The 17,335-nt window shown below is 41.3% G+C and overlaps 1 long non-coding RNA gene across 2 annotated transcripts in view; it reads left to right on the top strand.

The window, feature by feature from the left end:
- The window catches only part of LOC105372889 (uncharacterized), an 82,866-nt gene extending 65,864 nt beyond the window's left edge, over nt 1–17,002 (top strand). For both annotated transcript variants that reach the window (XR_922508.2, XR_922509.2), the window contains exons 5-6: nt 15,756–15,907; nt 16,882–17,002. This is a non-coding gene — a long non-coding RNA (uncharacterized LOC105372889). The remainder of the gene's footprint in view (nt 1–15,755; nt 15,908–16,881) is intronic.
- The last annotated feature ends 333 nt before the right edge of the window (nt 17,003–17,335 follow it).

A 17,335-nucleotide genomic window follows, 5' to 3' on the forward strand; every position in this document is an offset into this window, starting at 1 on the left:
TGAGGGTTTTTGACTCATTCATTCATGTATGCATTCATGCAATATATACTAATTCAATGTATATTTTACATTCACCATAGAAGTGCTCTATGGGGCTCTGTAGAAAATAGAAAGGGAAAAAACACAATACTTTAAAGCATCCACTCAAAAAAGAATACCTTCCTACTGAAACTATGCCAAGAACTGGCAGCATTGGCATCATTTGGAAGCTTGTTAGAAATGCAGAATCTTGGGTCCCACTTCAGACTATGCATCAGAAACTACATTTTAACAAGATCCCCTGGGTGATTTGTGCACCCATTAAAGTTTGAGAAGTACCAACTCCATGGGTAATATTGTGTTCTCTGCTTTAGCGTGTATTGTCTCGTACCACACATCCTTTTCTTTAAGGAGCTCATAATCAAGAAAGAGAGCAAGAGATTTTGACAAATCCCTACTCTACAATGTTCTGAATGTCTTAACAAAGATGGGAAGAGAATACTATGGAAATTTAGATGAGCCAATAATCGACCATGCCATTCATTCATTCATTCAAGAAATACTTGAACACTTGCTATGGGCCAGGTACTCTCCTACATGTTGGAGAAATAGAAATAAACCCGGAGGAAACATCTTTATTTTTATGGAGCTTACATATGAGTAGGGAAAAACATAAAATAAACAACTTTAAAAATTTATAATTCCAGATAGTGATGCGTGCTGTGAAGGCAATGAACAGAGCAATGTGGTGCCTAAGGAGGGGGGAGTAGGAATTACTTTTGGTGAGTTGGTGTAGAGAGGTCTCTTTGAGGAGCTGAGACCTAAGTGATGAGGAAACAATAATAGGAAGACCTGATCTGTGGGGACTGGGAGAAGAGGATGATAAGGAAGGAGGACAGCAAATGTACATGTCGTGGATAAATCTGACCTCTTTTTGGTGTAGCAGGAATCAGATGTGTTTGGTAAGGGGTGAAGGTATAGGCTCAGCAGGGGCTGCTCAGGCCATGGTCAGTGTTAGATTGAACTTCACTCAGAGTAATCATAGTAATATATACAGATATAGATTGAAAACAATTAATTCTGGTTGCTGTGTGGAGACTAGATTGTAGAGGGTAAGGCTGTAAGAGGCAGACTAGGCAGAAGGCCTCTGCAGTCATGCAAGTGAGTGACGATGGTGACTTGGACTAAGACGGTGGGGGTGGCATGGCCAATGGATTGGGATACACAGTGTTTTGGGGGTAGGATCAAAGCACCTGGGGAAGATCTTTTAGAGGAGTCTATGATGTGATGAGATGGGCTTTGAAGAATGTGCAGGAAGTCACTAGACAGAGATTCAAAATTCCAGGTTTTGAAGACCAAAAGTGTGGAGTCATGTATTTTGGAAGCAGAAGTTAGTTCATGGTATTCTTCTGAAAGAACCAAGACAAAAGAAAATAACCTAAAGTGCATATCTCTCATAGAAATGCAGTTCTTTTCATTTTCAATGGCAGCCCTAAAATGTGTGGTGACATTCCTGATTTCTATGCAACCTCTCCAAATCCCTTTACCAAGCTCTATATTACAAAGGTCTAATCATCTGGGAGAAAAGAAAGGCTGCTCTCCTTTTTTCCAGTAAATCAGACTTGGTCCTGGATCTGCTCAGCTTTGCCTACTCTTAGAGAATAAACTATTTTGGTCTTCTGAGCAGTACGTTTTCAGCACCAAATTCCAGATTGCCCCAGAAACCATTCAATCCAAGCAAGAAAATAAATGTGAATATCACTAACTCAGCAGCCTGGCACGGCAGACGACCCCATTACGTCAATCACCATCAGCAGATCACTGTAACTGGTGGGCTGTCATCCACCTGGAGATTAATTGCTGAGGACCTGTTGTATGTATTAATAGCTCATTTATTCAGATTGATCTTTCACCCATTGATCTTCAATCCCTGCATATGGCCAGGTAGCTATTGCTCTTGTGATCTGACTTCTGGAGCCAATCTTTCCTCTAAAAACCCCTTTGGGATTTCTTAGCAAGCGTAGCAGCCCGCATGTAGATGCTAAGTCCACAAACCACAGCTGCAGTCAATCTTGTCTCATCTCCAGAGAGTCAAGGTATGCTGCTGCTTCCTACCTTCCTACAATTTGATTGATAATATCTCAAGTTCCAAATCTGTAATCAAAGCACTACTGTCAGGCTGCAATCTGAATACTTACTTGAATAGCTTCAGCACCTTGCCCCTTGGAAATTTGAGCTTCCTTCTTATCTTCCTGCCTTCCCTGTGCCAGCTGGCATCGTTGGACTGGATAGAGAACCTGAGGTCAGCTTAACCCTTTAAGTGTCTGCCCTTTAAGTAACAAGGTGTCAATCAGTTCTGCAGAAAGGGAGCCTGCACTCCAAGGTCTCACTGTATTCATAGTCAGGAAGTTTATCTATTTGACCAGCTAACCCTTACTCGTCTGTTATGGGCTGAATTGTGTTTCCCTAAAATTCCACTCTAGTGGAGTTACTTCACTCTAGTAAGTGGCTAAGTCTTACTCCTCTGTTATGGCTGAATTGTGTTCTCCTAAAACTCACATGTTGAAACCCTACTCCCCAATACCTCCAAATGTGACCGTATTTGGATATAGGGACTTTAAAGGGGTAATTTTGGTGAAATGAGATAATAGGGGTAAACCCTAACCCAATATAATGGGTGTTCCCATAAGGAAAGGAGATTAGGGCACAGACATGTAAAGAGGGAAGACATTGAACAAAGATGACCACCTTCAAGCTAAGGAGATATGCTTCACAAGAAACCAACCCCACAAACACCTTGATCTTGAACTTTTCACCTCCAGGACTGTGAGAGAATAAGTTTGTTTAAGCCACTTAGTGTGTGACACTTAGTTATGGCAGCCTGATCGGACCAATCCACCTTATTTCAGGTCTCACCATACCTGCACCTTTTCTGAGAAGATTTCCTTAACTCGCCAATTAGCTTAGGTCATCCTGCTATCTGCTGCCATTTCTGTCTTTTCACTGCCCTAACATTCATTATGTTACAATTACTTATTTAATTACTCATTTTTAAGAGCTTGTCAGCTCCATAATGCCAGGGATGCCTGTCTTGTTCACTGCTTTATTAGGTAAGGAAACTAACTAATTGATATTTATTTGTAAATAATACAAATAAACTTCCAAATCTCAGTTACAGCACAATAAGAATGTTTCTCATTCATATCACAGTCCAATGTGGGCCCAGGATTCAAGCACTCAAGTCTTTATCTGTGGCTAGATTTTCCTCTGCTTCTCTGAAGGGCTCCAAATTTAGCTGGTAGTTGTGGAACAAGAAAATGATCATTGGTGGGAGGTTTCCATGAACCAGACCTGAGAGTGGAGAACCTTACTTTTGTTCATATTCCATTGGCCAAAACCTAAGTCACATAATCTCAGCAAACTGCAAGGAAGGCCAGTAAATGTAGTCCAGTTGTGTGTCTAGGGAGCAAAGGAGAACATGGCTATTGGTGAACAGGAGCAATTTATGCTATGACCACTATATCTCCAGCACCAGTCATACTGCCTGACTCATAGTAGGTATTTAATAACTATTTTAATTAATTAACTCATTAATTTTCACAAGTCACACACCTAGCCTTAGGTGGAACTAGAATGCTTTAGAATTGTAGTCCCTGCTTTCTCTATCCAGGGGCTTTTCATTAGACAATGTTATCTCATTTGTACACACTTGGAAGAGGAAAATCTCTCAGTCTTAAAAATCCCCTTGCAAGAAACAATCTCAACCAAGGAAGTTATTTCATAAAAAAACTCAACCAAGGAAGTTATTTGTACTGAGCAGGCAGCTTGGTATGTGTTTTTGCCATCTTGCTACAGTTATTCATCTCTATTAGACTCTAAGCTCCTAGAAGGCAATGCATTAACCATCTGGGTATCCCAACTTCAAGCCCAGTGCCTGGCACTTCTGTAACGTTCTTTCAGCCAGCATTATTGAGCATTTACTATATGTTGCACAAAGTGCTTCACATCCGTGAGCTCGTTAAATTGTCCCATGAAGTAGCAACAATAATTGTCTGTTTTTAATATATTGAAACCCAGTGCTCAGAGAGCTTGAGATAACTTGCCAAGGGTCACAGAACTAGAAAGTAGTTAAAGTAGGACACAAAGTCAAGTACCTAGGTTTTCAAAGCCCATGATCTTAATCGTTATTCCAAGATGCCTTTCGCGTGCATGCTGTTTAAGTTGAATGGAAATTGGCCATGGGCATCAGAGCTGAGTTGGCTGCTTTTGTGAACCTGGTCTTATTCTTGATTTCAAGATTATATGTCTCTCATTCTCTTGACAGCAGAGGATGGGCTGTACACAGCATGCCTAGCACAGAGCCTGCTGCATAGAGGATCTTCAATAAATGTGTGTCTCTGCTCTCTACAAGGTTAATGAACCACAACATAAGGAAGAAAAGGAGTAGTCAACCTGCCTATACTGGTTGGTGCAGGCTTCCCCAAGTACCCACCCACACACTGCCTTCACCTGGCCCCCTGACAAACTACTCTGCCCAGAGCTCTTCTTGGTGGGTCCTAGCATCCTTTGGGAGTGAAGGACCCTTGTTTCCCTCTGTGAGATTGATGGTGGTGGTAGAGAGAAGGAACTAGAGGTTTCTGATGGAATTTTCATCTTGAAGATAAGATAGAAAGGAAGAAATATTCCTAGTGAGTCCAATTCTCTCAGGAAATAAGACAGATGTCTTTTCCTCTGGTCTTCCCCCTCCATTCTTCTGAACCCAGCTGCACCACAGCATCCCAGGTCCCTATTCTTTACAGCCTGTGGAGCTCAGAAGTAGCAGTGTTCAGATTCTAGTTCTACTATTCTGGCTTCTGGGAAGCAGAGGCTGAGGCCTAGCCTCCCAATCTCTTCTCAAATCCATCCCATAGACTGCATCAGAATGAAGAAATTCAATTGCATGCAGGTAAACTTCTCTTAGTGCATTATTTAAATTTTTTTGGTAATCCTGAAAACGGCATTTTACCCAGGATGTGTTATCAGTGAGCTCTCTGGGCAAATAATACACTAAAAACAAAATAAATAAAATAATGTTCTTTTTGTATACATTTGGCACAAGTGAAGACCCCTTCCTGTGTGGGTGCTTAGCTGAATTATTTTTGCCTACTGGCATTCCTGCCCCTAAAATGAGCAAGGCTGAACAGCTCGTCGAATGTGAGGAGGTCAGGCTCCATCATCTCGTGGATACATGTGGCTCTCTCTTCTCCCTCAGGTGGATGAGATGCAACTTACATAATAAAAATGGAAGCATTTCAGGCAATATGACAGAGCCATGTGTAGATGAAGAAGGATTTTCAGCACCTCTGCAGGAAACTGGAATTGGCTAATGGTTCCTCAGTATATGGAGAGAACTGATTTCATCATCCTCAGCAAAGTTTCCAGTGCTGCAGGAATTCGAGCTTTACAGCTTTGCTCCTACAATTGTCAGGAGCCTCTTGCGGGATGGCAAGTACAGAGAAGACTGAAGAAAGACATATTCCAGTCACCCCCAAGTTCATTTCCACTTCAGGCTGAGGGCCTGCCGGCCGAGGGAAACTCTGTCTCTTCCAATTTGGTTTGAATTGAGACCATCCATCCCGGTCGAACTGCATTCCAGGCTTTTTTCTTGCTGATGTCAAAAGGCTGAATGTGGACTTCAGGACGGCTTGAGGGCTGTCTTGCCTGCTAACACTGATTTTATGATATGCTAAACATAACATTCAATAGCTATTACTTCCACTGTCAGAAAAACAACTTGAGCTATCTATCTTCCTCTTCAGACTATATTACATTTCTCCCTGCAAATGACAACGCATTATAATATCTTTTATTATAATATTACTTATTTATCGCCAAAGGTTTTCCAGCATTAATGCTGAGGGCTCTCCTTCTTTATCTGCTTTTTGGTTTGTTTGTTATGAATGTCACATTTTATTTATCAAGATAGGCTCTGTTCAGAATTTGTGGAGCCACAGTCTTCTGATTTACTTCTTATGCAAATCTGAGCTTTTATCTCATTAGATTTCTCAGCACGTAATGAGCACAGGATGGACAAAGTGTTCTCCATTTTTCTTTTTTTTTTTGAGACAGAGTTTCACTCTTGTTGCCCAAGCTGGAGTGCAATGGCGCTACCTCGGCTCACTGCAACCTCCGCCTCCTGGGTTCAAGTGATTCTCTTGCCTCAGCCTCCCAAGTAGCTGGGATTACAGGTGCACGCCACCATACCCAGCTAATTTTTTGTATTTTTGTAGAAATGGGGTTTCACCATGTTAGCCAGGCCGGTCTCAAACTCCTGCCCTCAGGTGATCCGCCAACCTCAGCCTCCCAAAGTATTGGGATTACAGGTGTGAGCCACCGTGCCTGGCCTCCACTTTCTTGCTTTGTCTAAGGACCCAAAGGGAAAGCATCAGGATTTAGGATTATGGCACTTGAATGTTGAAAATGAGTTCCTGGGGTCATCTGTGCGAGTGCCCCCCTCTCTTACGACAGGACTTTAACCTTGATAGTCCCATTTTAGCAGGAACTCTGCCAAATGAGCTCCTGTAATAGTTCTTGGTGTCTTGTTCCACAGTTTAGCAGCCTTCCTTCTGAGAAACTCTTCCTCCACATCCCCCTCTAAATTAAAGCTATTTCCTTAAGTCCAGTAAAAAATGTGATATTCTACTGAGACATTGTTTCTCTAAGAAGGATACTGGAAACCCCAATATAGAAAATCTCTTAAATGGCATACACACTTGGAGGCAGTTATTTGTTTTACAATAAAAACAAAAACCTAAAATCATGCTTCCTTGAAGAATATCTTCCTTAGTTCTCTTAAGTGACTGTGTATACATCATTAATGAATAGACAGAAAAGCTTTTTTGTTTTTTCTTTTCCCTCTGTTGGGATTAGGTAGATGTGCAGACAGAGAAGATAAATTAAAGTGCCAGCAAACTAATGTTTACTGAAAGTTTGACAGAATTGCTGATATGGTCCTTGGAAAAAATAGAGATATCCTTACATTGATACACTGGTATAAAAACATCAATTTGCATTCCACTTTTCTGGAAAGAAATGGGGTTCAATTGTACTTGAGAGTGAACCTTTGCCTTAAATTTCTCTAGAAATTTCTCTAGCACCTAAAATCTAATGGAGGCTGAGCCCCCAGTTAAGTCTGGCCTTGAACAAGTGGATAAGTGAGGGATATAGGAGTTGTTTACTCTCCTGATTTACGCTCTTTTTCCATCATAAAATGACCCCATCCTATCCTGCCTTTTCTCACCTGGGCACCCAGTACTAAAACAATGCTAACTTTTTCTGTCCTGTTCCAAAGATGATACCTGAGAGGCTAATGGTTGATCAAAGCCTGAGGCATTACTCCCTCCCAGGCTGGCTTACATTTCAATAGCAGACTATGGGAAAGCAAAATCATTATTCAAAGAATGATACTACCATGGTGGAAATTCAGACATCACAGAGAACTGAAGGAGGATATACTTAAACTAGTGGTGGAAGCAGAGGGGACTGTCAGAAAAGGATTTCAAATCAATCCTTATCAGGGATTCAAACCCTTCTGTCCATGAGACCACATCAAAATATCCAGTTGAGCAATCCTTCCTGCACGCCACATCTTGAGGCCCTCCCATTCTTTGGCAACATGCCAAGCACAGGACAAAGGCAAAATGCAACACCTTAGCCAATGCAGAGGAGTATGTTGAACATCCACACAGAACAAGACACCAGGTACTTTCAGCTGTTTTCCCCAAAACAGGTGCTGATGAGATGAAAGGCTTGCCCCTGATTGGAAGACTGTGTTGGCAGGCTTGTAGTTGCCATTCTTACACCCTGGCCTGCCCACCATCCTCATAAGAAGAGAAAATGGTGCAGCTGAGAAGTTATGCCTTATCATGGTGGGGAAGAAGGAGTGGTTTCAGTGTGACGTGGCTGACTGTAAGTTCTTGGGTACTGTCAGAAACTCATATTCCAGTCTCAGAGTCCTGCACTCTCCATTCAGCCCTTGAGCTAGCAAGGCACTGAGGATGTTAGCAGGCTCTGTGAATTATTCACAATGCAGAGGGACTCTTCCTAGAGCAGCATAGGCTTGTTTCTGAAATACAAAATGCAAGATTGGCAAAGTAGAAAAAAAGGATATTGAGACTATATACTTTGTTAGATTTGATGGCCTTTCCTATACCTGACTCTTTGGTGTTGTGCCCGCCCCCGCAACCCCCCCAAAAAAGATGATGAATTGAAAACAAGGGCCCTATATTCAGATGAACAGTTTCCTTGAATTTCCCCCTTGCCCCATTTTCCAACAGTCCACCTTCTATCCTTTCTCCTCCTGTCTATTATAATAAGTTTGGTTGATTTGGGTAGATTTGTTATCTCAAACTACCTCTGAGTCACCTTTTTAATCTTGGAGGAAGGACAACAGATCTAGTCATCTTATTTTTGATGAGTCTTGGGCATTTCCTGCAGTGACCATGGCCACCAGATGTGTAGACTCTTCCTCCTTGACACTATTCTCTCATTGATGGGCTTAGTTCAAGATGTCTCCAAAAGACTGCACTGCTGGAAGACTGGTAATCTTTTTAGTACATTAAGGTGAAAACAATCATTTACGAGCTGTGATTTGTGAAATGGTGCAATAACTATTTGCACATTGTTTTCTATTGACCTATAGACCCAAAAACTGAGCTCTCTGAAGCTATTGGTGAGTTCTGTGGGGATGGAGAGGAAGATCCCCCTAAATGCCTTACCCTCTTGGCATCTAAGTCCACCTGGGGTATAGCCTACCTGATTCTTTTGGATTTTTTTTTTAACCAGGTAAGTTATTTACCCCTGTTATTTATTAGAGGTGCCTCTTGCAATGTTAAATTTGCTTCTTCAAAACCATGTAGTTGATGACTTCTAGGTGAATGAGGTTGACAGAGTATAGGGGATGTGATCACCCCAATCTACTTTATCCTCTTAGTGTCATGGCTGTCAGCAAACTTTTTTTAGGGTCAAGTCCCAAGGGAGAAAATCAATGAAATGGTCTCTACCCTGGTCCAAATAACTCCAGATCCCATTTATCTCCCTTTCCAAGTACCTGCTTCCCCAAGTAACTAATTGGGATGGGATTTTTTTGATACCCATCTCTCTTTCTGCTGCCACAGATTCAATTCATGCTTTCAATATATATACATATATTTGCCTGGATGACTAAAAGAGCCCCCTGGCTGTTTCCCACCCCTGCCTCCAGTCTTGCACTTCTTCAGTTCATCCTCTATAATTTAGGCACAACAACTGTTCCAAAATGTGAATCTGATCATTTCCGTTTCTTGCTTAAAATTCTCTTCATTTATCTTAGGATAAAATCTAAGTTCTTAGCAAGCCGCAAAAGACCCTTTATGGGTCCCGATCTCACATTTTACCATCATCCCCATTGGAATTATATGCTACTGAGAGCACCCATCCCTCACCAGGGATTCCTTTCACATGCACTCCCACCTTTTTGGAATATTCTCTCTGAAATCATCTAGTCTTTTTTGGTTAACTTCTATTCACCCTTTAGGATTCACCTGAGAGATTTCCTTTATCTTGAGGCCATTTATAGTTAACTGCTATGGATTAGGTTAGAGCTAGGTATCCATTCTGGGGGTGCCCAACAACCTTCGGGTTTGTTTCTGACAGAGCAGTACCTCCCTTTGTTTATGTTTTCTGTTTGCTTGCCTTTTTGTCTACAGACATTAAGTTCTTGAGGTAAAGACTGTGTCTTAGTCATCTTTCTAACTTGGGTACTTGATCAATAGACTAGAAGATTAGCAAATACTGGGTGAATAAATGCCTGACCTATGTCAATATAGACTAATTGCACCCAATTAAGTTCCTCCCTCCCTTGCTTCCTTCCTTCTTCCATTCTTCTTTTCTTCCTTTCCTCCTTCCTCCTACCCCTCTTTATTTCTCTTCTCTCTCTTATGGTTTGGAAGGTTTTTTGTTGTTGTTGTTGTTGTTGTTGTTGTTTTTCAGTCCTACATATGGTGTTACACCGGGCTTATCAATGGATCATTTTTTGGATGAATGTCATCCCTGATATTTCTTCCAGGTAACCCTGGTCAGAGTTAGAGCCCTTTCACTGCCTCCTCCTAGATTTTTCTTCTCTTATCATCATACACACACACACACACACACACACACACACACACACACATGCACACACATATGTACATGGGGATTCCACAGGGGAATATATATATAAATAAATATATATGTATTTATTATACATGGCCATGAGTATTATCAAACAACTGGCACAATACAGAAAGATGGTTACCAGCTTCTAAATCAAAGACTCTTAATTTTGTACTTCACTTTCCTGTCACACACTCCTGCAAGATGCTGAACCAAAAGTGCCCTTAGAACTAGCTGGGCTCCATAGAAGAACATAATATATGTTATGTATGTATTATGCACATACACATATCTGCTACATATATTATGTATAGATATACAGACACACAAACATACATATATATATATACGTACACATATATCTATGTTAATATCATATCATGGCCAAGATAGTCCTGTTCTCTGTCACATTTGCTTCCAGTGGAGTTGGCGCAAAGCAGTGAAGATAAGGGATAGAGGAGTAGAAATGAGCCCCAAATGCTACATTCCTTAGGTAGAGTCTAGTAGGGTTCCATTATTTCCTCTCTCAATTCCCGTTACCTCTGATACTGGGACATCCCCAGAGTCTTTGGTAGTCATTAGCATTGTCCATTAAATATTTTCCAGATGCATGATAGGACTTCATTTACTTGCCTAAATAGAAGCAAAAGGGCCACTTTCAGACAGATGCTCCTAGAGCAGAGATGTGATTCACCACTCTCAGAAAGCAGCTGCTCCATCAGCTTGGTCCCAGAGTGAGGACAATGATGAGCAAGCAATGACGAACAGGAAGGGAGGAAGGGACTAGCTTAATTGGGTGCAATTAGCCTACATTGACATAGGTCAGGCATTTATTCACCTACCGTCTTGTACTGCCATGCACTAGGGTTGTGAGATGGAGCTTCATTATGTTAAGTCACTAAGATTTGCAGGTTATTGGTTACCACAACATAATCTAGTCTTCCTCGACTGATGCAGAGCCACTGAAATCGAGTTTTCTCCTCACTAAATCCTCCGGGTGGGGATTCCACAGGGAAAGGTGGCCATGATATGATATTAACATAGATATATGTACATATGTGTATGTGTTTGTGTGTGATTACATATATATGTGTGCGTGTGCGTGTGTGTGTGTATGTGTATGTATATATATATATATATATATATATATATATATATATATATATATTTCCCTGCTGCTCCTGCTGCCCTGAGCTAACCTCTGTGGGTGGGGAGACATGGTTCTTCATCCTTACCTGATTTGTTCCTGACACTCTTATCAGTTGGAGCTTGAACCATTGCTTCGCCACCATGTACACCACTTCCTTTGGGGAACTGCTCCTGCCTCACCAGCCTTGAATGCAGGCAGGCTTCCTGCGGCATGAAGAAAGTCCATCTGCAGTAGAAGTGGGTGCTGTCAACATACACAGCAGCAGAAACAAGAGCTATGGAAAGAGAGAAACCTGACAGTTTTGTGAGCTAAGAAATCTCTCCCGGTTCTTAAACTCATCTCAGGTGTTTATCTAACAGTCGTAACAGAAATAATTCTTACTAATTCATCCAGCAATATTAAATCTTCTCTCTCTGAGTGATCCTGCTTTCCCATTTTTCTTCCCTTTATGCTATGGTGGCAAGTACACAAGTGACTCCAGGTCCTTGGTCGAGATCTTCTTGGTAAACAGGCACTCAGCTCTGAGAGCCTCAGGGCTATGCAATCATTAAATTCTCTTAGCCAGAAGTCAGATAGACACGCGCTTCAACTTCCTGAACACAGCTGGAACCAAAGTAAGTAAAAAGACCTATAAGCAGATAAAATGCAGTCCATACAACTCATACTCAACCTCTTGAATATTACTCTAAGGATTATCTATTCATAAAACCTCAGAGTTAATTTCCTCTCATTGTACTTAAGATGATAATACTTTCTCAATTTTCTTCTACCTTGGAATATAAGTAGTCAATTCAAAAGGATGGGGAGGGAGTGCTTTTCCTCTCAGTGGTGGAAAGTGACACTGGCTAGTCCATCAAAGAAGAGTCAGAAAAACTACAAATGACAAGCTAAATGCTTCAAGACTGGGGCCATAAGATGTTAGAAAAACAGTGTTTTATATAACTAACACCTTCTGTATCTCACTGAACATCATTGCTTTTACAGCTCCGTGCACAAGAAGACGCTACTAGTGGTGACCCTAAGTCAATATAATGTTAAATTCTGTTTGGGATATTTGGTTTATTAAGGCAGGGGGCTGTTTAAGTTAATTAAAAAATATGATATGATGAATTGTTTCAAATGCTTGGCATTCAAGAAGTTAAATCCCCATTTTTTTCCTTGGCAAATTTATTTATGTAGAACAGTCTTTCTTTGATAGTGCTGAGTCCATGAAGTGAACTGTATTGTTTATCAATATAAATAATTTACAGTACGGACATATTTATCTTGTTTGTGTGCACACTGTTTAGTATGAGATAATGTTTGTGGATGTGTTTTGTAATCGGTAGAATACAATACAATGTGCTTTATCATCGTACTCCCTGGAAGTCCTGAATGACATTGATATTCATTGGCTTCTTCTTCCTTAGGAATCCCTGGATGAGCCATTCTCAATGTCTAGTGTACATAAAGTTCCACTGGGAAGCTTGTTGAGAGTGCAGATTCCCAAGTCTCATTCTTAGTTATACTGATTTAATTGATCTGGGGTAGAATCCAGAAACCTGGATTTTAAATAAGGACCACCCCCCTCCCCTGTCCTGCTGTTCCAAATGATTCTCACACAGGCAGTCCAAAGTCTAACCTTTTACAAAATACAGCTCTCTGCTGGTCTACAGCCCCCAGTTGCCCTGGGATGGTTCCCTTTTTCCCACTGGGCCTGAAAGGAAATCTTCCCCTCTATACAGTGTCTGTGTCAGAACCCAGACCTGAGTCATTGAACAGAGGGTGGAAATCATAAAATAAAATAGGATCTGGTTGAGGTGACTGGAATAAGTTGGAGAAAAAAAAAATAAAGACTTCCTAAGTCAAGTTTTAGGTGGTGGTATAATTAGAATTATTATCCATTATTTATGTGGCAGATGATGTTCATGAGGTGCTTGATGACTCTGTCTTAATAGGCAGTGGTTCTGCTGAAGGAGAAGGTGACATTGGTCTGTTCTTTCCCCCTGCTGCTTCCCTCCCGCTGTCTCTACTCTTCTATTGAGCCCAGCTAGTTCTAATGGCAGTTTTGGTTCAGCACCTTACAGGAGTGTGTGACAGAAAAGTGAAGTACAAAATTAAGAGCCTTTGATTTAGCAACTGGTGGCCATCTTTGTGTAATGTGCCAGTTGTTTGATAATACTCATGGCCATTCCTTGACCACCATCTCTGTGTTGGACATTTGTCATCTATGATCTCATTAAATACTCATAACAGCCTTTCAAGTAGACTTTATCTCTTTAAAGATGAGGAAACTCAGGTTCACAGAGGTTAAGTGACCAGCCCATGGCAACACAGCCAATAAATAGTGCAACCAGGTGATCTGAATCTAACATGCATCACCTTTCCACTACTTGTCCCCAAGAGCTCTCAAAGAAAAGAGCACGTTAGGGCTCTTTTGTTTCTGTAGGTCATCCTGGATCTCGTTAGTGCTTTGCCCTTATTATGGTCAATAGTGACCTTTGCCCTCTCTTGCCAAATTCATTTAGTCTTCTCTGCTTTTTCCCAGTGTCATGGCCTAGATTGCTCTATAAAGGGGCACTTTTGGCAGAGCAGGGATCCGTCTTAACCCGAAGCTTTCTGAGAACAAAAAGCACTGGGTACGTGTCATCCTTCCTCTGTCAATGAACCCCATGAGCTTTGCTGTTGCCTTTGCTATGACAAGTAATTTTTTCCTTCTTTCACCTGAACATAGCCTTTCGAAAATCAAGACCTATTATGTAAGGCTGGCATGTCCTAGGAGAAAGGGAAAACACAAAGTTAAGCATAGTCTGTCAAAATCAGGGGCAACTGGGCTTGAAAAATCCTTGCTCTTCAGGGGCAGTGATATCCCAGTTTAGTGTAATGAAAGTCATCATGCCCAGTGTCGTCTAACAATCTGACTTTAATGGGGTTACTATAGCTGGGGTAAAGCATTTTATATGGAACCAGGTTTACATTATCCTACTCTTTAGAGATCTTGCTTGCAATGCTGTTCAAATCCTTTAATCCATAAATAGGATTCCAGACAGCACTGGGCTGCCTTCCAAAACTGTAATCTTCCAGTATATGAATTATTACCAAAAGATTAGGGTGTTTCTAGTAATAACATTTCAAATAAATCAGCTTTCATGGAGGAACAACAAACTAATATTGGAAATAACAATATAAAGACATTTATATAGCCACTTGCTAGAATAACTTCCCTAACCAGGGGCTTCTTTTCTCATTTACATTCATTCTGTTCGAAAAGTCTTTTTTCATTTATTGTCAGCTGCTGGCTTTAGCCTTAAAGCATGCCACATGTTCTCTTGTCCTGGGACTCTTTGATGCCTGTGAAATCAGCAGTTCTGTCTACCTAGGGATGGTCAGAGATGTTGACTACTCTCCCTAGAAACTCTAGGTCCCTTTGGTCTTTCTCTTTGACTCTGAGGAAGTGTGTAGGAAAAGCTACATTTACATTTCAGGCTGGAAAATACTCTTTCGGGGCTTCATATCAAAGATTATAAATGAGATTGTGATGTAGAAGAAAGAGTTCCTTGCATGGCTTTAGGGATTGAGTCCTTTTTGGTGGCACAGAGATCTGTTGACAGTAAAGATTTACTCAGCATGTATACACCATGGTGATGACCCCAAGGCTGTGTGATGTGAGCAGACAGGACTTGCCTTATACCTTGATGAATTCTGGCTACATTGCTCAGCAGTCTTAGGAACACTGGGCAACTTTCTTCACCCCTTTGTTCCTCTATTTTCTCATCTATAAAATGGGGATATGTACTACCCTATGGGGTTATTGAAGTTAAATGAAGTATCAGTGGTAAAGTCAGAACTCCATACTATGAGTTTTTTCGTCTCCTTTTTACTGTTCTTTTAAACCATTTGAGTTCATGGTGATGCGGCTGATAGATAGTGAGGAGCTTGCCTCTCTTAGCCACAGATGGCTGCTTTGAGAAATACCTCCAGGCTAGAAGCAAAGATATTTGCTTAATGCCCATTTCTGTGACTCATGTCTGTGACCTTGAGAGAGTTGTCACACTTCTGGATCTCCATTCCATCTGCTATTAGAGAAAGTGTCTAGCTCCTTTCTACCTTGTTAGGTGAGAAGGCAGTAAAGTCAGTATTCATATATGAGCTCACATTTTAAGGAGACATTTCATAGTCATAGAATTTTAATGCTAGTAGAGGTTATCTAGGAAGAAGAGGAATTAACATTTATTAAAAGTACTCACCATGTTCAAAGTACTTATATGCTTTGCCATATTTAATTTTAACAACCTCATTAGGGAGGTGGAGTTATGCCCAATTTACAGATGTGGAAGCTGAGGCTCAGAGAGTCACTTTTAGTTAATTTACTCCAGATTGCACAGCTAAGATGTGGTGGAGACAGACCTCAAAAATTATATAACTCCAAAGTCTTCCTATTGCACTGTTTTTACCCTCCATGATTCTTATTTTACAGATGACCAACAGAACTGGACTTAAATCATTCATCCATGGACTTAGCTGGTTAGTGAAAAATGCAGGACTAGAACCTGAGTTTCCTGACGGCTATTCCTGTGCACCAGCTCCCCACCCAGCCCTGAGAATTGGTAGACATCGTCTAATGTCACCGTATGTCTTATATTATTATTTCAAAGACGTTTTGTTTTCATTTCTGATGGCTTTTCTACAGACACAGGCTCCTGACATTTTAGTTCTAAGACTCTCTTCTTATATGAAAAGGTTGGAATAGTTGATTTCTTTGGTTCCTGCTAGCTCAAAAATTCTATTATTCCTATGACCCTCCATTCCCCATAGTAGTTAATGATCTGTAAAGAAACACTTAAATGCACCGGTTTACTACCTTCTCACTGCAATCTAGAGGGAAGCCAGCTATTAATTTTTTTTTTCAAAAGGGAGATCTGAGACCCACATTGCTTGAGCAACTAACTCAAGGACATAGCTCATCAGTGGCAGAGCCAGGCCTGGAATGCTCGAAGGAGATTGTGTTTTGTTCACCTGTTAATCTCAACCCTTAGCAGAGGGGCTACTTGTTTACAGTAGAATAAATATGCTCATGCATTAATGAGCCATGAGTGAAGTTGAACCCAGGCTCCCCAACCCCCAGTATAGGCTTCCATTAGCAGGTCCCTTTTCCCCCAAACCTTTCGTAATGAAGGAGATTTGCCTGTTTGCTAAGTGCTTCATATGTTAGGTTTCCTAAAAGCAAAGTGGCTCCACAGAGTACATTTCAAAAAGTGGAGGTCTTATTTGTTATTTGCAGATCACTGGGGTGGCAGGTCTGAATTCAGACCTGGGAGGATGGATGAGTGAATTTGCACACACCACTCCAATCTACTTCTACTCTTTCAATTTAAGGCAGCATTATTATATTATTAATGGGATGGGAGAGGGGATGCCTGGAGAAGAGATATTTGTGAAATGTCTCTTCAGATTAAAGGAGCTTTGAAATGGAAAGCATTAGCCCTCTGATTAACTGAGCCCTGCACTTTACATTTTGGACTTTAAAATAAAAAAGAAAAGAGAAAAATCACCACTGTGTTTTTGGAAGCTTGTGTCATTTTTTTTTTCCTTTCCCTTTCCAGCCTTCCGCTTAGCTGCCCCGAAAGGCAGGCAATGATGAATGGCGCCTACTACAAAAGAAAGCCGCAGGCACACATGGGCCCGGTGTTGTTTCTGTCAGGGCAGCTCAAAGGGAAGGCCGCACCACACGGTGAGTTCCCCTTTTCTCCCTAAACAAATGTTGTTTTTACTGAAGTGGGGCCGGTCTGATTTACTTACAGGGGGAGAGAGAAAGAGACCATCCATTCTTCTGCTCCATGGAGAAGAGACATTGGCAGGCTTGGGTGGGATGAGAACCAGAATGCACCAGTCCTCAGGGCCCCTGGCTCAATTACTCTTTCTGCCTTGGTTTCCCCATCTGTCAAAACCAAAACAAAGCTTTCCTAGCTGTCTCAGGGGGTGTGGAAGGACTGCTTTTATAAATTAATCTGATGACACAAAGTGTGGGAAAGGGCAGAAAGGGGCATGAGAGGGTCT

Source organism: Homo sapiens, chromosome 1 (assembly GCF_000001405.40).
Source record: "Homo sapiens chromosome 1, GRCh38.p14 Primary Assembly".
NCBI lineage: Eukaryota > Metazoa > Chordata > Mammalia > Primates > Hominidae > Homo > Homo sapiens.